This window comes from Homo sapiens, chromosome 22 (assembly GCF_000001405.40).
Source record: "Homo sapiens chromosome 22, GRCh38.p14 Primary Assembly".
NCBI lineage: Eukaryota > Metazoa > Chordata > Mammalia > Primates > Hominidae > Homo > Homo sapiens.
The window spans coordinates 17,489,188-17,513,806 of NC_000022.11; the positions used below are offsets into that span (position 1 = coordinate 17,489,188).

A 24,619-nucleotide genomic window follows, 5' to 3' on the forward strand; every position below is an offset into this window, starting at 1 on the left:
CTCCCAAAGTACTGGGATTACAGGCATGAGCCACCTCGCCCGGCCTAGTTACTTCCTATCTTTGCCAACATCTGCTGTTTTTAATTTTACTAATCCTATTGTGTTGAAAGTGGCAGCTCATTGTGGGTTTAATTTGCATTTCCCCGATGACTAGTAATGTGGAGTGGTTATTCATGTGCTTACCATAAATTTGTATATGTCTTTTTTGGTGAAATATTTGGCCAAGTGTTTTACTTATTTCTTTTAAATTAGGGATGCTTATTTAATTTATTTATTGACTTTTTTGAGACAGGGTTCCCACTCTGTTACCCAGGCTGGAGTGCAGTGCTGTGATCATAGCCCACTGCAGCCTCGACCTCCTGGGCTCAAACAGTCCTCCGGCTTCAGCCTCCTGAGTAGCTGGGACTATAGGTATGCTCCATCACACCCTGCTTATTTAAAGCATATTTGTTGTAGAGACAGGTCTTGATATATTGCCCAGGCTGGTCTTGAACTCATGGCCTCAAGTTGTCCTCCAGCCTCAGCCTCCCAAAGTGCTGGAATTACAGGCGTGAGCAGCCATTCCAGGCCTTATCAACTTTTTAAATGTTTACTAAGGAACTGTTTTATATTATTAATTTTCTTTACTCTTTGCTTTTTTATTTTATTGATTTCTCTTTTTTATTTCCTCTGTTTACTTTGGCTTTAGCTTGCTCTTTTTTTTTTTTTGCTTCTTTGGAGTACTGTTTTTGAGCCTTTTTTCAAAAAACAGGCATTTAAAGCTATAAATTTTCCCTAAAAAACTTGTAAATTTCCTTCTAACCCATAGTTGGCTGCATCCTGCGAATTTTGATGTTTATATTATTGTTTAAAACATGCTCTCCTTTATTTCTTCTGTGACCCAAAAGTGTATTATTTAAATTCGTGATTTAGTATGTTAGTGGTAATACTGTTGAGATCTGTTCCTTACTGTTTTTTTTTTGTGTGTGTGTGTGTGTGTGTTTGGTCTATTAATGAGAAGCCAGTATTAAAATCTCTCTGATTGTGGATCTATTTCTCCCATTAGTTGTGCCCATTTTGTCTCATGGGTTGTGGTGTCCTGTTATTGGATGTGTAGCGGTAGCTTTGTTATATAGTCCTGGGAAGTTGTTCCATTTCTTCTTATGTGACACTCTGTCTCCACATCTGCTTTGTCTCATATTAATCCTCAGCTTTCTCATGCTTACTGTGCCTGGTAGATCATTTTCTATCCTTTTAATCTTTGTATTTTTATTTATTTATTTTTTGAGATGGCGTCTTGCTCTGTCACCCAGGCTGGAGTGCAGTGGTGTGATCTCAGCTCACTGCAACCTCCGCCTCCTGAGTGCAAGCAATTCTCCTGCATCAGCCTCCCGAGTAGCTGGGATTACAGGTGCATGCCACCACGCCCGGCTAATTTTTTTTTTATTTTTATTTTTTATTTTTAGTAGAGACAGGGTTTCACCATATTGGCCAGGCTGGTCTCAAACTCCTGACTTCATGATCTGTCCACCTCAGCCTCCCAAAGTGCTAGGATTACAGGCATGAGCCACCATGCCAGGCCTCCTTGTGTTTTTTTAAAGTGTACAATTCATTGGTTTTTATGTATTAACAAAATTGTGCAACCATCACCACTATCTAATTGCAGAATACTTCTATTACCCTACAGAAGACACTTTGTACCATTAGCAATCATTCCCTGTTTCCTCCCACCCACTTCCCAGCGTCACTATTCTTACTGTCTCCACAGGTTTGAGTGTTGTAGGCCCATCTTATAACTGGAGCCATATGGGAAGTGTCCTTTTGTATCTGGCTTTTTTCACTTAGAGTTATTTTTCAAGTTTTAACCATGTTGTAGCATGAATCAGTACTTCATTCATTTTTATGGTAAAATAATACTTCATTGTGTGGATACACACTTAATCCTTCAGTTCATGGGTATGTACGCAGATTTTAGCTTTTGGCTGTTAGGAATTCTGCCGCTTTGAACATTTGTGCGCAAGTCTTTGTGTGGATGTGTTTTCCTTTTCTCTGGGGTGTACACCTAGGAGTTGGAGTGGCTGGGTTGGTAGTTCAGTGCAACTTGGCGAAACTTCCACAGCAGCTGCACACTTAGCCTTCCCACCGGCCGTGTGTGAGGATTCCGTGTCTCTGCATCCTGGTCAGCACTTGTTACTGTGTGTTTTTTGACGTCCTCCATTATAGTGGACATGAGGTGGTACCTCATTATGGTTTTGACTTGCATTTCCCAAGTGGCTAAGGTTGAGAAACTTCTCTGCTGCCTTCTGCTTTTTGTTCCTTTGTTGGTCCTTTAATGCTTTCTTTTAGGCACATGAATTTGTTTTAAGTGTATCACTTTATTTCCACTATTGGCTTCTTATTCTGTGTGTGTGTGTGTGGGGGGGTGGGTGTTTAGCAGTCGTAGGGCAAACAATATATATCCTTAAATTTTATCCAGAGCTATTCAGAATTTTTATTGTACCTCTTCATGCCTTATACATGATACTTGAGACTTCTCACTTCATCTGTACAGTATTTAGGTTCCATTAAAAAAATAGCCTTTATCATTTTAAAGATACATTTGGGGTTTATTCACTTTCTTGGTTACCCAACATAAACATTCATAAACACATGTAAAAATCTGTATTATGTACATGTTTCTCTAGGCAAAGATGTTTTGCAGATTCTGCCTTAACCATATTTTCCTTTAATTTGAAATAACCATGATTTTAACTTATCTTGGCTGTCATGTTGATTTTAGTATGTGGGATATAGTAGCTATTCTACAGCCCTAGAGAAGAAGAACTGTTATTTTAATTATTTTGGCCTGGTCTTTTTATAAGCTTCGAGAATAAATGCTTTATCAAGTATTCATACAGAATCTTTTACTTGTTGCTTTACTACTAGAACCAGAATATTTATCTCAATTCAGTACTTATGTTAAACGTGGCCTGTGTGTACATGTATTTCATTTGCTTCACAAATTGTTGTAGCAAATGGGAGAATGCAATTTGATTTTTCATCTTATCTCCATTCTGGGAAGCCTGGTGCCAAACCTTTATTGCTCCCCTGTAGAGAGACCATGGCTGCCCTTTCATGTCCCTAACACATGCCTCAAAGAACTTAAGAGTCTTCTTCTTGTGATCTCCCCAAACAGGGTGCAGATATTAACAATGTGTTGTCCTACACAGTGAAGAATTCTGCCAGTTCCAGCCGGCAGAGGCTTGTGCTGGAACACTTGAATCAGGTCGTGCCGTCCTTGGTCTCAGCAGTAGAAGCATGTTCTGTCTGGAGCAAGCTGAGAAATTCTCTGCTGGGCCTCTAAGAAATGGCTAACTTTAAGAGTTTGGAAAGGTTGTTGACTCATTCTTATTTTCACTCTTTCTTGCTCTTTCACTCATAGAGGGAAAAAAAGAGGTAATTAAGAGCCAGTCTCTTACTGCTGTTTTGTAGGATGGAAAATGAATGCGAAAATGGGTCATTTAAGAGTATTTGGAACTTTTCCTAGACAAGAAATAAAATAGACCTTGTTGTTCTGAGAAATTCCGTTTGGTTTGATCTTTGCATTACTATTTTTAAATGAAATGTTTTATTATAGTTCAAGATAATTTCAGAATGATGAGAATTACTAAGTCATTAAGAGGGAATTGCAAGGAGATGAATGGATGAGTAAGTGAATGAATGTTCCAGGTAATCTAAACTTGAGAAGCTTAAAAATATGTACACATTAGTTTTTAGCAGCACAGTGCCACTGTTCTTTTTCCTTTATTTTATTTTACTTTATATTTTATTTTATTTTATTTTTGAGACAGAGTCTGGCTCTGTCGCCCAGGCTGGAGTGCAGTGGTGCAATCTCAGCTCACTGCAACCTCCTCCTCCTGAGTTCAAGTGATTCTCCTGCCTCAGCCTCCCGAGTGGCTGGGATTACAGGCACGTACCACCATGCCTGGCTAATTTCTGTATTTTTAGTAGAGACAGGCTTTCTCTGTGTTGGCCAGGCTGGTCTCAAACTCCTGTCCTCAAGTGATCTGCCCATCTCGGCCTCCCAAAGTGCTGGGATTACCGGCGTGAGCTACTGCGCCCGGCCTCTTTTTCCTTTAAATAGTAAAACCTGAAAGTACATGCAAAATTGTGTGCTCATTTTTCTGGGGGAGAAAGTATGTAGTCTTTATCAAATTATTAAGTGTTTTCTGTCCTATAGAAGATGAAGAACCAGTAAGTCAAAAGAATTAGCCTGATTTTTAGCTTCCTGAAGCCTTTTTATTTCAAATCACCCTTAGCCAGTGCCTTTGCCCTCAAGAGATTTTTCCCCATTCACTCTCTGATGTTTAAAAGGAGATGTAGATTTCTAGGAGAAGGTTGATCTACATACAAGGAAATGGAATTGTCTTGGATTGTAGGCCCTCAGGTGTCTCCTAGTTAAGGTGGCATGGAGATAGATGCCTTAAGAAAGCTTTTAGCAAAAGTGATGTAATTTAAACTGAGTAGGACAATAGGCCTGTTGGGAAGGAATCTGAAACATGGAATTGTTTGAGACAAGTAAGGGCTTCCAGACAGACTGTTGTCTAAAGGAGCAGCACTGCGGATGCACACGCAGTGTTTGTGGGCTGGTATGCCTGTACTTTCTCAACCTCACATTGGAATAAGAAAGGTCTCGCTCCCTGGCCCAGCATCTTCTGCACATCCTCCAGTGAAGCTGCTATTCTGGTGAAATGATACAGATTTCACTGATTCCATGTTTTATTTTATTGCAGGAAAAAACAGACTTTAGTGTTTGTGGAACTTGGTGTACATTAGAAATTCTCGAAAGCATGCGGTAGATAAAGAGATTTATTGCCAAAGGATGATTGTCTTCTACACACTTCTGGCTACTAAAAAAGCAGTTTTTAAAAAAACACTTTTTCATTTTCTTTCTTTCTTTCTTTCTTTTTGGAGACGGCGTTTCTTCTTGCCCAGGCTGGAGCGCAATGGCGCGATCTTGGCTCACCACAACCTCTGCCTCCCGGGTTCAAGCGATTCTCCTGCTTCAGCCTTCCAGAGTAGCTGGGATTACAGGCATATGCCACCACAACCGGCTAATTTTGTATTTACTTTAGTAGAGACGGGGTTTCTCCATGTCGGCCTCCCAAAGTGCTGGGATTACAGGCGTGAGCCACCATGCCTGGCCAAACTTTTTCATTTTCAAATTCACCGTTACGACACTGTCTGCATTTTAATGTGAGTTTGAACTACTCTTTGCCCGGCTCCTCACTCTGGAAGGGTTGGTAGCAACTTCACAGACAATGGAGAGGCAGCCAGTCCAAACCCTGCAAGGTTCAAGCACTCAGTAATGGCCGGTGCTCGTGTGCTGAATGTGAATGCTGTAGTCCAGTGAGATTTGTGAGAGCCCTGATTGTTAGAACTGTTACGCTGCATTTTGATAAAGCTGCCATACTCATGTTTTCCCCAGTGAGATAGTAAGAGTAGGGGAAAGATGTTTCTTCTCTCTTTGAAAAAGCAAACTGTTTAAGTGTTTTTTTGTTTTTTTTGAGACAGCATCTCACTCTGTTGCCCAGGCTACAGTGCAGGGGCACAATCTCGGCTCACGGCAAACTCTGCCTCCCAGGTTCAAGCAATTCTCCTGCCTCAGCCTCCTGAGTAGCTGGGACTACAGGCACACGCCACCACGCCCGGCTAATTTTTGTATTTATAGTAGAGATGGGATTTCACCATATTGGCCAGGCTGGTCTCAAACTCCTGACCTCGTGATCCGCCCACCTCGGCCTCCCACAGTGCTGGGATTACAGGCGTGAGCCACCGCGCCCGGCAAACTGTTTAATTTCTTATTTGCCTAAGCCTTCTTAATTTTTTCCACAAATATTTCCTTTCACTTTGCTGCAAATATAACTACCATAGATTATAAGTCAACATAGTAGTTGCCTAATTTTAAAATGATACCAATAACTTCTTTAGGCCTCTTTGCTTATTAATAAGAAAAAACTTTTCACATCAAGCATGAGGTAAATTAGATCTTGATTCTTAATAGTTGAGATGTAAAATAACCATCTAACAAACAGCACATTATTACATGGAAGGCATATTTAGGTACTAATCAAAATACGTGGCTGGGCACAGTGGCTCACATCTGTAATCCCAGCACTCTGGGAGGCTAAGGCAAGCGGATCACCTGAGGTCAGGAGTTCAAGACTAGCCTGGCCAACGTGGTGAAACCCTGTCTTTACTAAAAATACAAAAATTAGCCGGTCATGGTGGTGGGCATCTGTAATCCTAGCTACTCAGGAGACTGAGGCAGGAGAATCACTTGCACCCAGGAGGCAGAGGTTGCAGTGAGCCAAGATCACGCCATTGTACTCCAGCCTGGGCTACAAGAGCAAAACTCCATTAAAAAAAAAAAAAAAACGGGTGTGGTGGCTCACGCCTGTAATCCCAGCACTTCGGGAGGCCGAGGCGGGTGGATCATGAGGTCAGGAAATCGAGACCATCCTGGCTAACACAGTGAAACCCTGTCTCTACTAAAAATACAAAAAATTAGCTGGGCGTGGTGGCAGGCGCCTGTAGTCCCAGCTACTCGGGAGGCTGAGGCAGGAGAATGGCGTGAACCTGGGAGGCGGAGCTTGCAGTGAGCCAAGATCGCACCACTGCACTCCAGCCTGGGTGACAGAGCAAGACTCTGTCTCAAAAAAAAAAAAAAAAAAAAAAAAGGTATTTACACCTGGATGTGGTAAGACGCACTTATAGTCCAGATGCTCTGGAGACCAAGGTGGGAGGATTGCTTGAGCTCAGGAGTTTGAGTCCAGCCTGGACAATATAGTGAGACCCCATATGGGAAAAAATATATTTAACACAATTATAGGGTTTCCAGACTGTACTGAAGAAAAAATTTAAATTGCCATCTAGGTGTCTTAAATGTTCTCTGCAGAAAAACTATCTTCAAATTTTAATATACAGACATGGGAGGATTGCTTGAGCCCTGGAGTTCAAGACCAGCCTGGGCAACATGCTGAGACCCCATCTCTGAAAAATCAAAGAAAGGACGGGCACGGTGGCTCACGCCTGTAATCCCAGCACTTTGTGAGGACGAGGCGGGTGGATCACGAGGTCAGGAGATCGAGACCATCCTGGTTAACACAGTGAAACCCGGTCTCTACTAAAATTACAAAAAGAAATTAGCCGGGCATGGTGGTGGGCGCCTCTAGTCCCAGCTACTCGGGAGGCTGAGGCAGGAGAATGGCATGAACCCGGGAGGTGGAGCTTGCAGTGAGCTGACATCGAGCCACTGCACTCCAGCCTGGGTGACAGAGCGAGACTCTGTCTCAAAAAAAAAAAGAAAGAAAGAAAAATCAAAGAAAAAAAATTTAGAATGCAGTGTTCATGCCTTAAAGTTCATGTATAATAGAATATGAAATTATAGTTGCATATCAGTGTAGCCATTTGTATTCTGGAGGACTTTCTGCCTTTGTATCTTAACCTGAAATATAAATTAGGTTAGGCCAACTATGCGTTTCTTTTTTCCTTTTTTCTCGCCACCTAAGTCATGAACCCAACTTTGTACTGTCTGAACCGCAGGGTGTCTTCAGTTGTACGCGTAGCGGGTGAGACTTTTGCCTCAGCTTCATAACCTACACATTTGATTATGCTTTTACCCATTCCACCAGAATGTGCTATTCGGGCTTTAAAGTCAACCTATTCTGTGAAAAACCCTCTTTATATATTTATCTTCCTTGATAGTTGACAAAACACAATATCCATGTAAGTAGGCTGAAACTTCATGAGGGACTTCCTGTTACTGTTTTTCATTTCTGCTTTCTGTGTAAAATTTGTCAACTGGGCCAAGCGTGTTACCTCACCCCTGTAATCCCAGCACTTTGGGAAGCCAAGGCGGGCGGATCGTGTGAGCCTGGGAGCTTGAGAACAGCCTGGGCAACATAGGGAGACCCCTGTCTCTACAAAAAATACAAAGATTAGCTGGGTGTGGTGGTGCATGCCTGTGGTCCCAGGTACCTGGGAGGTTGAGGTGGGAAAATCTTTTGAGCCCAGGAGAGCTGCAGTGAGCTGAGATCTTGCCACTGTGCTCTAGCCTGGATGACAGAGCGAGACCCTGTCTGTATAAAAACAAAAATCTGTTAGCTGTCAGATCATGAGTTCTCTCTCTCTCTCCTTCTCCCAACCAACCTATATTTTATATTAATGTATTTTTGTGTTTGGGGCCCTGGTCTAGGCCTCAGACATTCCACAGCTACCTAGAGGACATCATCAACTACCGCTGGGAGCTCGAAGAAGGGAAGCCCAACCCTCTGAGGGAAGCCAGTTTCCAGGACCTGCCTCTTCGCACACGGGTGGAGATCCTGCACCGACTCTGTGATTACCGGCTGGATGCAGACGATGTCTTCGATCTTCTAAAGGTATGCTTAACTGGCGAACCTTTCCCTGTAGCTGTGAAAAGCCAGCAATCAGAAATGTAGTCAGAACGTAAAACCCAAAGATACTAAGCCAGAGTTTGGCTTGTGGTACTAGTCTTGGTACTATTCATTGCCAATAACACTGTATGGAAAACCATGACTGCTGTAGCCACGGAGATGCAAGATGTACATCCCTATGGAAGTACGTTATTTTGGTCTAATTTCTAGTCTGGTTTCATCTTCCTTTACGTGCACTGAGTCCTATCTGCAATAGGTACAACCAGAGGACCCTGTTTGTTCTGTCATCAGCCAAACCTGCAACTAAATCCGCCACTGAGTTTTATTTTTCAGGGTGTAAATTTGATTGAAATATTTACTGAAATCTCCAAGAACTTGAAACCGTATATGTTAGTGAAGGTCATCCTCTACACACATCCACGTTACAAAAAATGTGTTGAAGGAAGCTGTGGCCATCTCTCTGTCCCCCTTGGTGTGGTTATCTGTTTAGAAGTATATCCTAGAGGGGGCCGGGTGCTGTGGCTCACGCCTGTAATCCCAGCACTTTGGGAGGCCAAGGCAGGCAGATCACGAAGTCAGGAGATCGAGACCATCCTGGCTAACACGGTGAAATCCCGTCTCCACTAAAAGTAAAAAAAAATTAGCCGGGCGTGGTGGCAGGCGCCTGTAGTCCCAGCTACTCGGGAGGCTGAGGCAGGAGAATGGCATGAACCCGGGAGGCGGAGCTTGCAGTGAGCCGAGATTGCGCCACTGCACTCCAGCCTGGGTGACAGAGCGAGACTCCGTCTTTAAAAAAAAAAAAAAGTATATCCTCAAGGGAGAGTGTGGGTTATTGCTTTCACTCATAGGGAAGTCAGTTTCTAATCCTGTTCCATCATCAGTGATTAAATGTGGTGATGACTTCTCAGTTGAGCTCTGGTTATGGGCACATTATAAAAAAATCATTGTGTAATTTAGCACGGTCTTTGCTGAGGACTCAAGGACTTCAGTAGCAGTGAGAAGGCCAGTACAGGTCAGCCCCCGAGGTAAATTGGGAGCCCTGTCACTGGAACTCAGCTGGAGTGAGAGGTCACAGGAGGTTATGCCGGAACTGCCACAGAGGATCCCATGGGGCAAAGCTTGCCCCGTGCCTGATCCACCCGGTTGTACTTGTCTTTCTTTTCGTGTGTGCTCACATAAAACAACCGCTCCCAGCCAAATCTGTAAACTGTTCATCAGGATTGCTGTTGGATTCTCTCTTTTTTGAAAAGGGAACAATGGTGGGGATAGGGAGCATTGTAATATTTCCATCTCTTGTTCCTCAAAGTAGGTACCACCTTCCCATTATATCCGTGTTTCTTATGCTGATTGAAAATTACATAAGATACTTGGACATTTTTATTTATTTATTTATTTATTTATTGTTTGAGACAGAGTCTCTCTCTGTCGCCCAGGCTGGAGTGCAGTGGCATGATCTTGGCTCACTGCGACCTCCACCTCCCAGGTTCAAGCGATTCTCCTGCCTCAGCCTCCCGAGTAGCTGGGATTACAGGCGCGCGCCACCACGCCCAGCTGATTTTTTGTATTTTTAGTAGAGGTGGGGTTTCACCATGTTGGCCAGGCTGGTCTTGAACTCCTGACCCCATGATTTGCCCGCCTCAGCCTCCCAAAGTGCTGGGATTACAGGCGTGAGCCACCACGCCCAGCGATACTTGGGCATTTTTAGATTTGAGTTATGCTTACGTGTAAATTTGGAATCCTCGTTCTGGTTTTTTCCTGGTGCGTTTTGTTCCCCATTTCCCCAAACCCCTTTTCCGTGCTCTGTGTAGGGCCTGGATGCAGACAGTCTCCGTGTGGAGCCATTGGGTGAAGACAATTCTGGGGCACTATATTGGTATTTCTATGGAACACGAATGTACAAAGAGGACCCGGTGCAAGGAAAATCCAATGGAGAACTCTCTTTGAGCAGGTATGTTCTTCAGTGTTAGGGCATGATAGCTACTGTATTAAAATGTCATTAAGATTAAATGCATCAGAATTCTACAGCACAATTTTTTTTTCCTAATGAAGGAATTCTCTAAGCATGCCTGCAAAGAGATGGTAAGGAGATACTTCATGCAAAAACAAAAAGGAATTAATTCTCTGCTACCAGAGGGGTTAAATATACTTTTTTAATCTGAAGTTCTTGATAGGAGGTTTCTGAGAAATGCCACTCCTCTTGCCACAGGCTATTTTAATATAGCAGGTTTCTTCTCAGCAGCACAATCATTTCACTGCAGTAACAATTTCATCTTGCATCATCAGTCCTTGAGATCTCCTTATTTCGACTAGAATTAATGATGTAGTTTATGCCAGGCGCAGTGGCTCATGCCTGTAATCCCAGCACTCTGGGAGGCCGAGGCGGGCGGATCACGAGGTCAGGAGATCGAGACCATCCTGGCTAATACGGTGAAACCCTGTCTCTACTAAAAATACAAAAAATTAGCCAGGCGTGGTGGCGGGCACCTGTAGTCCCAGCTACTCGGGAGGCTGAGGCAGGAGAATGGTGTGAACCCGGGAGGCTGATCTTGCAGTGAGCCGAGATCGCACCACTGCACTCCAGCCTGGGCGACAGAGCGAGACTCCATCAAAAAAAAAAAAAAAAAAAGAATTTAATGATGTAGTTTATGAACGTTAGTATCCATCAGTTTAAGAACAGAAGGAATTTAAATGATGCCTGAAACATAAGCTTTACTAAGTAAGGAAGAGGCCGCATTTCCATAGCATCCCAAAACAATGCTAACCTCTTATTTAGGCTTTCTTACTGCTAGGAGAATGCTTACTCTTCGGAAGGTGTTAGTTAGATCTTAAGCACATTTTAGTATTGCAAAATGTTAGTTTTCCTCAGATCCACAGTCTAATAATGAAGACTGGAAGTTGCTGTTCCCTTTTCCTTTCACTGCTACATTTAATCCTTTTTGGTAATCTCATGGCCAGAAATACTGTTTTAAAATCATATGTAGCAATGCCAATCCTGTGCCAGAACATTTCTATTTAATATTATTTATTAGGGAAAGTGAAGGACAAAAAAATGTCTCAAGTATTCCTGGAAAAACGGGAAAAAGAAGAGGAAGACCCCCAAAACGGAAGAAACTGCAGGAGGAGATTCTGTTGAGGTAAGAAAATCTTGTTAGTTGTGGTCATAGACCATGGCAGAAGGGACCTTAATTCATTTATTCCTTTTTCTTTATTTTGCCTGTGCCATGGGAAGCACATTATTATAGCAACCTGAAACTGAGTCCTTATGAAATTACCACATGTGCAGTACAGTCAGGAAGCCCTTAGTGTGTGACATCTGGCAAGTCACCTCCCCTCTCTAAGCGAGTCCTCTTACTAGACGATGGATGTGCACTTAATGAGGATTATATTGAACAAGACAGTTTTTTTCATTCTTCAATTTTATATTTAATTTTAGCAAAGAAAGATACTTGGGGGATTTTCTTTTATATGTCATTATCTTCTAGGAAATTTCACCATGTGAATCTTGCTATAGGACTTTTCAAAATCTGACCTATGCTGTGTAAATACACTTTTTACTTAAGGATCAGCTCTATCACTAAGCCTATTGAAGTGAGGCTGTATTCTTAAAAATTCTGATAACTCAGGACAAGTGGCTTCTTCCCTTCCTACTTAATCTAAATGCTTGAGTTAGGCTGAATTTCACCCTGTCACTTTTTAACCACTAAGAAATATTTCTGGGAAATCAGATTAAGAATATAGATCACTCAGGAGATCGAGACCATCCTGGCTAACACGGTGAAACCCCGTCTCTACTAAAAATACAAAAAATTAGCCAGTCGTGGTGGCGGGTGCCTGTAGTCCCAGCTACTCGGGAGGCTGAGGCAGGAGAATGACGTGAACCTGGGAGGCAGAGCTTGCAGTGAGCCGAGATTATGCCACTGCACTCCAGCCTGGGCGACACAGCGATACTCCATCTCAAAAAAAAAAAGAATGTAGATCACTCAGATCCTGATTTTAACTCAATCAGCATCCACTTAACTTTACAGAAGTTCAGCTTCAGATTGCAGCTGCCTATTTCTTGCTTATCCGTTTCTGTGACAAATGTCCTGTAATTACTTAACGTTTTATGTATCAACACCTGTTTCCGGGTTTGTTAGGATTTCACACGTCCTTCGATATTCAGAAAGCTGCATGATACCTGTCTCCGTTTCCCCATAAGTATCAAGAATCACAGTAGCTTAGGGTTGGGACTGTAGAATCATTTTAACAAGCATCCATGGACTTGTGCTACCCTCTACTGGTGACTTTTTTCCTTTAGAGCTGTGTGTGTAAGCCAGTATTTAAATATTTTTTCATTAAATTTAAAATTCAGTTTCTGGTTCACGCTGGCCACGTTTCAGATGCTCAGCAGCCACATGGTTTATTGGATAATGCCAATATAGAACATTTTCATTCTCATAGAAACTTTAATCGAAAACAAGCGAAAAGTCCACAGAGTGTCCTTTCTGTTTCAGGGATACAAGTGAAAATGATACTTCATCCTAATGCGTTATACACTTTGCATTTTGTCATTTAATCTCCAACGTCCCTGTGAGGTAGGCACTATTAATAGCTCCATTTTGGGGGAAAGTTAATTAACTTTCCTGAGGTCACATTGTAAGTGGCACAGCTTGAATAGAGGCATTCCCCCTTCGGAGCCCATGCTCTTAACCCTCTGCCTTAGGTAAGGATCAATTATAATAAATACACCTGTCTTCAGTGCGGCCCTGAATCAGGGAGGAGGACATTGGAATCCCTACAGTTCTTTTTTCTTGGCATTTAATTATTAACAGTTGCATCTCTCTCTTGACTGGAGCAGTGATAAAAAACAAGAACAAACAAACAAAAAAAACAGTGCATCTGTTTGATTTCCAAAAAAAGCTTTAAAAGTTACTGTTTTCTGGCTGGGCACGGTGGCTCACGCCTGTAATCCCAACACTTTGGGAGGCCAAGGCAGGCAGATCATGAGGTCAGGAGTTCAAGACCAGCCTGGCCAACATGGTGAAATCCCGTCTCTACTAAAAAATACAAAAATTAGCTGCACCTGGTGGCGGGTGCCTATAGTCCCAGCTACTCAGGAGGCTGAGGCAGGAGAATCATTTGAACCTGGGAGGCGGAGGTTGCAGTGAGCTGAAATCGCGCCATTGCACTCCAGCCTAAGTGACAGGGCAAGACTCCGTCTCAAAAAAATAAAAATAAAAAATAAAAGTTACTGTTTTCTTATGCATTGATACTGTTGCCATAACATAGGGTAGCTGTATGTCAGTACTTCCCTCCTAGACCAGCATGCCTGCATCTTAGTGTTCATTTATTCAGCGTTCCGCCTCCAAGCCTTGTCCCCTTAACACACACACATACACTCTCTTTGTGTTAAATTAATGGGTTCTACCATCCTGGGGTGGCACAGAACAATTTTGGACCTGTCTTTGTTTTAATTGGCACCTCTTTTTCCTGTGTTTCAGTGAAAAGCAGGAAGAAAATTCCTTGGCATCCGAGCCACAGACAAGACATGGTAATGTTCTTTACTGGCATTTAGAAAGAATTAAATAAATATGATTCATTTATGCTAGGGTGTTGACTCTTTTTCTAGAGTCATACAAAGTAAAGGTTATTGCAATAGCCTTTTACCTACCCCCTGTACTCTTCTTCAGTTCTCCTCCTCACACCTTATCCTGTGCCCAGCTCATCATCTGACTAAGGATTAAGATCAGAACTAGATCTTTTCACTAGTGCCCTGTTTACTGGGGACAGTGTAATAGACACCTTAACGTTGGAGTGAATAACCAGCTTCTCAAAGAGAGGTCTTTTTAATGTCAGTGCTTCATGACACAATGGTTTCCTTATAGGTTTACTACATACTGGTTTCCTACCTAGATTTTAATTTTGTAATCCAAATAACATAAAAATGGGAGGCACATACCAGTTTGCACAGTGTAGTTGAGGCAGGGTAGACTCAGCAAAGACTCAAAATCAAAACCATTTCTGTCAATATATTTAATCATTTCTAGACTGTGAATATCTATCTTGTTAAATTCACAGTAGTTATATTTGTATTGCCTTTAGACATTACATTTTTTTTTAGTTGTTAACAATGACTTTAACAGGAAAACCAGAAGTATACATTGTCAACTTTAAAGTCAAAAAGAGGCCATTGTGGCGGCTCATGCCTGTAATCCCAGCACTTTGGGAGGTCGAGGTGGATGGATCACTTGAGGTCGGGAGTTCGAGACCAGCCTGGCCAACATTGTGAAACCCCATCTCTACTAAAAATACAAAAATTACCTGGGCGTGGTGGCAGGCACCTGTAATCCCAACTACTCGGGAGGCTGAGGCAGGAGAATCACTTGAATCCAGGAGGCGGAGGCTGCAGTGAGCTGAGATGGTGCCCCTGAACTCCGGCCTGGACAACAGAGCAGGACTCTGCCTCTAAATAAATAAATAAATAAATAAATAAATAAAATTTAAAAGTAGGCCAGGTGCAGTGGCTCACACCTGTAATCCCAGCACTTTGGGAGTTCGAAGCAGGCAGATCACTTGAGCTCAGGAATTAGAGCCCAGCCTGGACAACATGGCAAAACCCTGTCTCTACGAAAAATACAAAAGTTTAGCTGGATGTGCTGGTACACACCTGTAGTCCCAGCTACTTGGGGGGTGCTGAGATGGGAAGATGGCTTGAGCCCAGGAGGTGTAGGTTACAGTGAGCTGAGATGGCACCACTGCACTCCAGCCTGGACAATAGAGCCAGACGTTGTCTCAAAAAAAATAAAATTAAGTAATAGGTCTCTTTTTTGAGTTCCTTATTTTATTTTTTTTATTTTTATTTATTTATTTATTTGAGACGGAGTCTCACTCTGTCGCCCAGGCTGGAGTGCAGTGGCGTGATCTCGGCTCACTGCAAGCTCCGCCTCCCGGGTTCACGCCATTCTCCTGCCTCAGCCTCCCGAGTAGCTAGGATCACAGGCGCCCGCCACCGCGCCCGGCTAATTTTTTTTTTTCTATTTTTAGTAGAGACGGGGTTTCACCGTGTTAGCCAGGATGGTCTCGATCTCCTGACCTCGTGATCCGCCCGCCTCGGCCTCCCAAAGTGCTGGGATTACAGGCTTGAGCCACCGCGCCCGGCCGAGTTCCTTATTTTAGTCATGACCCACAGTAGAAACAAAATTGAGAATAAATAAGGAAAGGTCCTCATGGGATCTCCTGTAGTGAATCCGTTCCTTTATTTTCTAGGGTCCCAAGGGCCAGGCCAAGGTACTTGGTGGCTCCTGTGCCAGACAGAAGAGGAATGGAGACAGGTCACCGAGAGTTTTCGCGAGAGGACCTCCCTTCGAGAACGGCAGCTCTACAAGCTCCTCAGTGAGGACTTCCTGCCTGAGATCTGCAACATGATCGCCCAGAAGGTGCGCCACACTCTCTGCTCTGTCCTCCTCAGTGTTAGGCCTGATGCTGCATTATTTAAGGATTATTCATGAGACCTTCCCCATACACCCCACTGTCCTGGAAATAGTGCAGTCTTCCATCCTGTCTGAACTCCAGTGTTAGAATGGGACCTCATGCCACCCCCTCTCCTTCACTGTGGGTCCTATCATGTTCTCCTTCCCCCAGAAAGTCCTCAGTGTCTACCACCCACCAATAGTGACGGTGGCTTTTCACAGCCTGGAACCAACTTTCCTTCTCCCATACACTCCTCAGGAAACATTCCTTGAGTCCCTGTGTAATGCTTTAAAAAAAAAAAAAATCTTGTGGGTTTGTCTTTGTCCTTGTAGCTCCATTGCCAGCCCTTTGCCTGGCTCTACCTGATTGTGTCCTCTTCACCAAATTCAGGGCAAGCTATAGTCTCATAAACCATATGCCCCATATTATCATGCATGTACACCCTACTTCATGCATTTTCAAACATCCTTCATCCTCTTTTTCCTTTTTTTTTTTTTTTTTTTTTTTGAGTCTCTCTCTGTCTCCCAGGCTGCAGTGCAGCGGTGCAATCTGAGTTCACTGCAACCTCTGCCTTCCAAGTTCAAGCGATTCTCCTGCCTCAGCCTCCTGAGTAGCTGGGATTATAGGCTCACACCACCACCACGCCCAGCTAATTTTTTGTGTTTTTAGTAGAGACAGGGTTTCACCATTTTGACCAGGCTGGTCTAGAACTCCTGACCTCAAGTGATATACCGCCTCAGCCTCCCAAAGTGCTGGGATTACAGGTGTGAGCCACTGCACCCGGCTTTTTTTTTTTTTTTTTTTTTTTTAAGGACAAGCTCTCTCACTTTGTCGCCCAGACTGGAATGCAGTAGTGTGGTCACAGCTCACTGTAGCCTCGATTTGCCAGGCTCATGTGATCCTCTCATCTCAACCTCCCAAGTAGCTGGGGACACAGGCTCGTGCCACCACACCCAGCTAATTATTTTTTATTTTTTGTAGAGACGAGGTCTTGCTCTGCTGCCTAGGCTTGTCCCAAACTCCTAGCCTCAATCTATCCTTCTGTCTTGGCTTCCCAAAGTGCTGGGATTATAGGCATGAGCCACTGTGCCCAGCTTTTATTGCTTTAAGACAGGGTCTTGCTCTATTTCCCAAGCTGGAGTACAGTGGTGCAGTCATAGCTCACTGCAGCCTCAATCTCCCAGGCCGAAGTGATCCTCTCGAGTAGCTGGGCCTGCAGGCACATGCCACCACGCCTGGCTAATCTTTTAATTTTATCTGTGCGTAGGGTTTCCCTATGTTGCCTGGGCTGGTCCTGAACTCCTGGGCTGAAGCACTCTTCCTGTCTTGGCCTCCCAAAGTGCTGGGATTACAGGTGTGAGCCACCACACCTGGCCCCCTCTCTACTTCCTTACCCATTTAAATACTACTCTCTCAAAAGCCTTACTTAAATGTCACTACGTCCATGAACTGTCCTTGTTTCCCCCAGCCTTTTGTCGCTTAACATGTTTCTTTATGCTTATTTTATATCTTTGTGAGTTCAGGCTTCTTCATCTCAAGGACCATGTCTTATCTTTTTAACAGCCACGACACTTAATGTCATTTCTTTTCATGTTTTTTTGTTTGTTTGTTTGTTTGTTTTGAGACAGAGACTCGCTCTGTCACTCAGGGTGGAGTGCAGTGGCACAATCTTGGCCCCCCGCAGCCTCCACCTCCTGGGTTCAAGCGATTCTCATGCCTCAGCCTCCCAAGTAGCTGGGACTATAGGCGTGCGCCACCATGCCTGGCTAATGTTTTTATATTTTTAGTAGAGATGGGGTTTCGCTGTGTTGGCCAGGCTGGTCTTGACTCCTGGCCACAAGTGATCCACCCACCTTGGCCTCCCAAGTGTTATGATTACAGGCGTGAGCTACCACGTTTAGCCTGCCTTGCCTTTTCTATGGTGGTTGGTTGATAATTATTCAGTTTGCTTATTTCATATCGATAATAATATTTCTGATTATTGATACATGTTAATAGAGGACCAGAAATATTTGACCACTTGCCAGTGAAATATGAAGAGAAAGTATTTGTAAATCATCACTGCAGTACCTACAGGGAGGCAAACATGTCAAATGTATTATTTAATTTATTGTAGATCTGGTGCTGTGTCTAACCCTTAAGCAGGTTGATGCTTTAGGGAAAGTCCTAGAAATTACCTTTCTCTAATAACGGGAACTTACAAACAGTGCTTCAAGACTTCCGCCGTCCTGGATGATCCAGAAAACCTCCGTTTCACCATCGGTGTACTTAAGTTCATGTACGATAATTGCATTCTGTTTTTGTGATCAGCAATTCACTGCAACAATTTTTCTAGGAATTAAAATATATAATCTAATTTTCTTAAAGTAACAATGATGTAAAGAGATAGTTTTTATGACTTTGTGTAACCTTGCATATGACTTTATTGATATCATCAGTCATGGCACATTAAATTATCTGGAAATATACCCAGTCACCTTAAGCCTTCTTTTATCATTTCTGCTTTTTTACTGCTATATTCAGCCTAACATTTTGGGGGATAGAAGAATTAAGGGGAAAAAAAACTTAAAGCATAAAACTGATGATTTTGATTAAAAATTTCAAGCATTGATTCTTTTCAAAAGGAGAAAAATTCAAATAAGGTAACCCTTAAATAGGGTAATCTTTAAATACAATTTTCAAGAACCATGGAGTTGCAGACCAGAAAGAAATAATGGATTTGATATTTTCAAAGAAATAGATAGTGCTTTTAAGTTCAAAAACCTCAATGAAGTCCTATTAACCAGAAGAATAGTATAGTAAGAAAAATCTAAATTGGGAAGTAGAAAATCTTAGCAGACTAATAATTAGGGAGTTCTCACAGAAGGATCGATTTATTCACAGGTAAAGTTTTCTAAACCTTCAAGGAAAAGATAACTTCCAAACATTTCCAAAATGAAAGAAATAACTGGAAGCTACTCTGTTCGTTCTGATATAGATATCTTTGAACGCCATACCTGATAAAATTAAACATACTCTCCTCATTCCATAGTATATACAATAATGCCCCAAGTAACCATGTTTTGGTCAATGACAAACCATTTATACCACTGTGGTCCCATAAGATTATAATTGAGCTGAAAATTTCCTATCGTCATAGCCTTTATGACACTGTAGCACAATTCCATTTCTTTTTATAAATTGAGTGCAGCCTGAATGCATTGTGTTTACAAGGTCTACAGCAGTGTACTGTAATGTCCTAACCTTCACATTCACACCACTCAGTCACGGACTCAGCAGAGCAACTGCCAGTCCTGCAAGCTCCATTCATGATAAGTGCCCTATCTCGGTGTGTCAGTTCTTAAATCTTTTATACTGTATTTTTACTGCACCTTTTCTATTTATGTATGTTTAGATACACAAATACTTTACCATTGTGTGTCTGGGATTGTAAGTAGTAGGCTACACCACCTAGGAGCAATAGGCTATATATCCTGTAGTCTGGGTGTGTAGTCGGCCCTACCATCTAGGGTTGTATATAGTAGACTACACCATCTAGGAGTAATAGGCTATACCCCATAACCTAGGTGTGTAGCACACTACATCGTCTAGGGTTGTAGTAGGCTATACCATCTAGGACCCTCAGGCTGTACCCCATAGCCTAGCTGTGTAGTAGGCTATGCCATCTAGTCCCTGAATTCTATATTGTTGAAAACATAACAAAATCACCTAAGAATGTGGTTTCTCAAAATATATCCTCATTGTTAAGTATAACACATGACTGCGTGTCAGATTGTTAATAGCGAGAAGTAAAAGCTGTCTTGTTACCAAAAGAGTAATGTTTGAGACTATCTTACTGGTAATACTGTTTTGCAGTCTTATCCAGTGTAACACAATAAAGAATAGTAAGATGCAACATTTAAAAATGTTGACCTGGGGCCAGGGACGTGGTGGCTCATGCCTGTAATCCCAGCACTTTGGGAGGCCGAGGCGGGTGGATCACCTGAGGTCTAGAGTTCAAGACCAGCCTGGCCAACATGGCAAAACCCCATCTCTACTAAAAATGCACAAATTAGTCAGGCATGGTGATGGGTGCCTGTAATTCCAGCCACTCAGGAAGCTGAGGCAGAAGCATTGCTTGAACTCAGGAGGCAGAGGTTGCAGTGAGATGAGATCGCACCACTGCACTCCAGCCTGGGCGACAGATGGAGAAAAAAAAAGAAAAGAAAATGCAGTGTGTAATGGAGGCACAAGAAACGGGGCAGTGGAAGAGGGGTTAATGTGGTATGTGGAAGAGTCAGGAGCTTTTCTTTCAAACCTGCTTAAATTATGACACTCCCCTGTCCTGTCCCTTGGATAAGTTTCTTGATACCATTCCATTTCACCTTGTTTCTTTTCTTTTTTTTTTTTTTAAACAGAGACAGGGACCTTACTCTGTTACCCAGGCTGGAGTGCAGTAGCGTGATCATAGCTCATTGTAACCTTGAATTCCTGGGCTCAAACGATTCTCCTCCCTCAGCCTCCTGAGTACCTGGACTATAGGCACACACCACCACGCCCAGTTAATTTTTTAATTTTTTGTAGAAGTGGGGTCCATTTCAGTTTTCTTATTAGTAAAATGAAATGCTATCACTTGACAGAAGTTTTTGTTTAATTACAAAGAACCCATGTCAATGTACAGAGCATAGTATTTGGCAATCAAAAGACACTACTCGGTCCTCTCCCATTGTTTATGGTAGTGGATAATTGATGAGAAACCTTGATAGAAAACTAAACCCACATTTTATAGTAACATAAAGGCAATAATGGATGACGTTAATCCTTCTCTGTCCGCCATCAGAAGATTTGATACATCTTTGTTGAGGTATTATATGATCGTCCTCTAAACTTTGAAATAATTAACAGAAGGTAAGTCCTGCTGTGATGGCCATATAAAAGTTTACTTAAACCTTTTTTTTGTTTGTTTAAATAAAAGGCGATGTAGATACTGGTAGAGCTTGTTGCTCATGTTACAGAATATACAGCTTTATAAACTTTAATTTCTCAACAAATAAATTGACTAAGGGTATAGATGGTTTACAGATGCGGCGATGGGAAAGTGCGTAGGGAAACATTCACGTTCTGTATCAAGAATAGCATTTTTCTCATTCGTAGCTTTTATCTGATTTGGCAGGGTTGAAGTGAAGCTGGCATTGTCATTTTTGCAACTATCATGGTAAACTGGCATAATCCCTTTGGAAGGCAGTTCCCTGATAAGTTTTTACTGTACTTAAAGTTGAAGAGATCTTGTTAGAGTCTTGAGGCTTATAAAATAATCGCTATCTCAGTGCTTTGGGAGTCCAAGGTGGTACGATTGTTTGAGGCCAGTAGTTTGAGGCTGCAGTGAGTTATGATTGCACCACTGCACTCCATCCTCGGCGACAGAACAAGAACCTATGAAAAAAAAAAAGAGCTTATAGGTATATTTCAGGAAACTGCTGGGCTAGGTTTTTCGGGACAAGTACTTAAAGAAGGTCATGACAGCGTTTGATAATTGGGCTTGCATTTGCATTAGGCACTAGTCATTCTCTTTTTCTTTCTTTCTTTTTTTGAGATGGAGTCTCGCTCTGTCGCCCAGGCTGGAGTGCAGTGGCATGATGTCGGCTCACTGCAAGCTCCGCCTGCCAGGTTCAAGCAATTCTCCTGTCTCAGCCTCCTGAGTAGCTGGGACTACAGGCACGCACCACCATGCCTGGCTAATTTTTTGTGTGTGTGTTTAGTAGAGATGGGGTTTCACCATGTTGGTCAGGATGGTCTTGATCTCCTGACTTCGTGATCCGCTCACCTCGGCCTCCCAAAGTGCTGGGATTACAGGCGTGAGCCACCCCACCCAGCCCGAAACAGAAAAGCTTTCTAAAGTTGCTGACTCACTAAATGTACCCCCGTGGCTTTGCGGTATGTTTAAGTTGTATAAACCACCCCTTCTTGTCATTTTCTATCCTATAATTCCTTACCTAATGGATTAAGTGGTGCCAGAACTGACCCTGGAGAATGCAGATTTTTGATGCGGAAGTCACGGAAGTTATGTTATCTTAAGGGAAGGCCTTTGCTTGTTACCTTTTAGTAGTAGGTTACAGTTGGTGATGCCATGGGGCTCATTCCTCACAAATTGCAAAACTTACATGTGCTAATAAACCTTGGCCTTCAAAAGTAGTAACCTAGATACAAGTAGTTCTCCATGCTCTTTCTTTGAAATTTCCTATAAGGACTGCTTTCCAGCCTGGTGCATTTCCTTGGCACTCACCGCATTCTGCTCGCTGAGCCCTTTTCCCACCCCTGCTCTCTCCCTGGCTTCCCCTCCTGGGCAACTGCTCTCACTTCTCACTGCTGCCACTGTGCTGCCTTTGCCCGGCGGCCCACCTCCGGCTGCTCCTGATGCCCCCTCCCAGAGCCGCCCCTTCAGCTGAAGGTGATAAAGCATGGCTTTCCCTTTGTAATTTGGGAAGATAATTTTTTTTTTTTTTTTACTGTTTAAACTGTTAAGGGAGTTTTTTGCCAGTGATACATATTATAAAAGACACTTGTTTGTCTCCAAGTTTTTGTTTTTATTTTTTCAAGAGAATAAACTGGCTTCTGTCCCTACACAGCTGAGCAGTGGTTCCTGATTGTCCTAAGGAAGCCTTTGGCCCTAACCTGTGTGCCTCATTGGCCACTTTTTTACTGGCGGCAGCAGCAGCAGCAGCATCAGTAGTTGAGAACACCCTAATCTATCTTTTCCTTTCTCTTCTTCACTTCTAACTATAGGGAAAACGTCCACAGCGCACAAAGGCAGAGTTGCATCCTAGGTGGATGTCTGACCACCTGTCCATCAAACCCGTCAAGCAAGAGGTGAGTGTGGGTGAGAGTAGCGAGGAGGAGCTTTCCTGATGAAAGAGACGGATCCTTTTCATGTACTTCCATTCCTGCCTTTTTATTTTCCTTCATTTTTTTTCCTAAACCCCAAATGTTTATTTAGCAATCTTATGCTTAAGATACATTTCTAGAAAGAGAAAGAATTAGAAGACGTGAGGCCACACTCTGGTTCTGACAATCTCCTGGGATGGTAGGCATGTCCACATTTAATAAGAATACGTACTGCAATAGGTGCATGTATAGGAGCAGTTCACAAATGCAAAGATGGGAGGATGTAGAGCTGGGCAACGGAAGGAGAATTTGAGTAGGCAGAGCCATATTTGACCTGAATCCTGAGATGGCTGGGATTGATGGAAGGGGAGCAAAGAGGGTGGGAGAGGTGGGGCAGAAGGCATCCCACACTACAGGAGTAGTAGAAACAAAAGCACAGAGACAGGAAATTATATAAATTTATATAAAATGATATAAATATATATGGTCAAAAAACAGTATATATTAGAGCCAAGCACAGGTAGCTCATGCCTGTAATCCGAGCACTTTAAGAGGCCAAGGCAGGTGGATTTCTTGTACTCACGAGTTCAAGACCAGCCTGGCCAACATGGCAAAACCCCATCTCTACTAAAAATACAAAAATTAGCTGGGTGTGGTGGCGGGCACCTGTAATCCCAGCTACTCGGGAGGCTGAAGCAGGAGAATTGCTTGAACCCAGAAGGCGGAGGTTGCAGTGAGCTACGATCGCACCACTGCACTCCAGCCTGGGCAACTTCAGAGTTTCACTCTGTCTCAGAAAAAAAAAAAAAAAAAGAAAGAAAGAAAAGAAAACCTGAGAGTTTGTGGCAAGTTTGTTGTTTTGTTTCTAATTGGAGATGTAGCATGGACCTGAAAAGGGTCCAGGAATGAGAGAGCGTGGATCTGGCTGATCTGTGGGGAGATGAAATTCTTAGGTGTCAAGACCTCGCCATGGAGGGTAGATAATCACATTTCTTCTAAGACACAAAGCAAAACAACATAAATGGGAGGGCAGGGAAATGTTTAGGTCACATGAAAGAGAGAGGGCATCATGTGGGAGTTTGAGATATAATGTTAGGTGAAGAAAGAATATTTGGTGCAACCACTAATTAAAAGAGTTGTCCAAGGAGCATTCTGGAGCTGACTGTGTTTCGGCATTTTCATTCTGTAGTGTAGCTCAGGAGCCTGAAGCAGGAGATTTACTTGAGCCTAGGAGTTTGAGACCAGCCTGGGCAACATAGCAAGACCCCACCTCTGAAAAAAAATAGTTAAATTACTTTATCACATCACATCACACTGTAGGAAGGGACAACACTTTTTAACCGTTTATCCTTTGGGCACTCTTTCATCGAATATTTAAACAGTTCAGTGATCGTAGAGAGTTTTGAGTTAAGGGACAGTAGTTTTACTCTGGACCATGTCTTTGAATTGTTACGTTACGGAGCCTTCCTTTTGCCTTTCAGTAACATTTTCATGGATCTTAAATTTGAGTGACGACACGATGTTCTATTACAGAGATCTTGTCAGTAACTAAACACATTCTACCTTGAGCCCTGAAAAGGGAAAGCTAATTTATAAATTTGTATTTACTTCAGTATATTTTGATTTCACATCTGTCTCTTTTTAACTCAGAGATGTGTCTTGCCCGATGTTTAATTACCTGGGGGTTGACAATTCTATTCATGATTGACCTCCCTTCTCCAGTATCCTCTTCCTCCTAGCAGTCACTAATTTCAGAGTGGCCTTTGGTCCCTGGTATTCAGCCATGTTCTCAAATGGTTTTCTAGCCTGGCCTTGTTGGGCTCTCTCTGCTGTCTTTATTACCTTGACAGTTCACACCTCCTTGCAAGCTCCCTTTTCTGTTTACTGTTCACTGC

General features: G+C 42.8%; 1 protein-coding gene across 12 annotated transcripts in view, besides 1 other annotated feature; it reads left to right on the top strand.

The window, feature by feature from the left end:
* CECR2 (CECR2 histone acetyl-lysine reader) overlaps positions 1–24,619 on the top strand; it is a 198,203-nt gene that overhangs the window by 129,239 nt on the left and 44,345 nt on the right. For 7 of the 12 annotated variants that reach the window (NM_001290046.2, NM_001290047.2, XM_017028785.2 and 4 more), the window contains exons 3-8: positions 8,216–8,399; positions 10,223–10,362; positions 11,444–11,548; positions 13,895–13,944; positions 15,660–15,829; positions 22,626–22,709. In NM_001290046.2, the coding sequence (NP_001276975.1) occupies positions 10,307–10,362; positions 11,444–11,548; positions 13,895–13,944; positions 15,660–15,829; positions 22,626–22,709 (465 nt within the window). In that variant the 5' untranslated portion in view covers positions 8,216–8,399; positions 10,223–10,306. The remainder of the gene's footprint in view (positions 1–8,215; positions 8,400–10,222; positions 10,363–11,443; positions 11,549–13,894; positions 13,945–15,659; positions 15,830–22,625; positions 22,710–24,619) is intronic. The other 5 variants (XM_011546128.3, XM_047441342.1, XM_047441341.1 and 2 more) reach the window with 1 other exon arrangement.
* Positions 5,103–5,719: an enhancer, noted in NCBI's record as "H3K27ac-H3K4me1 hESC enhancer chr22:17973322-17973938 (GRCh37/hg19 assembly coordinates)". NCBI's record gives its function as "activates a minimal SCP1, AML or CMV promoter by ChIP-STARR-seq in naive H9 embryonic stem cells {active_cell/tissue: H9 hESC(naive)}" and the evidence as "EXISTENCE:reporter gene assay evidence [ECO:0000049][PMID:30033119]".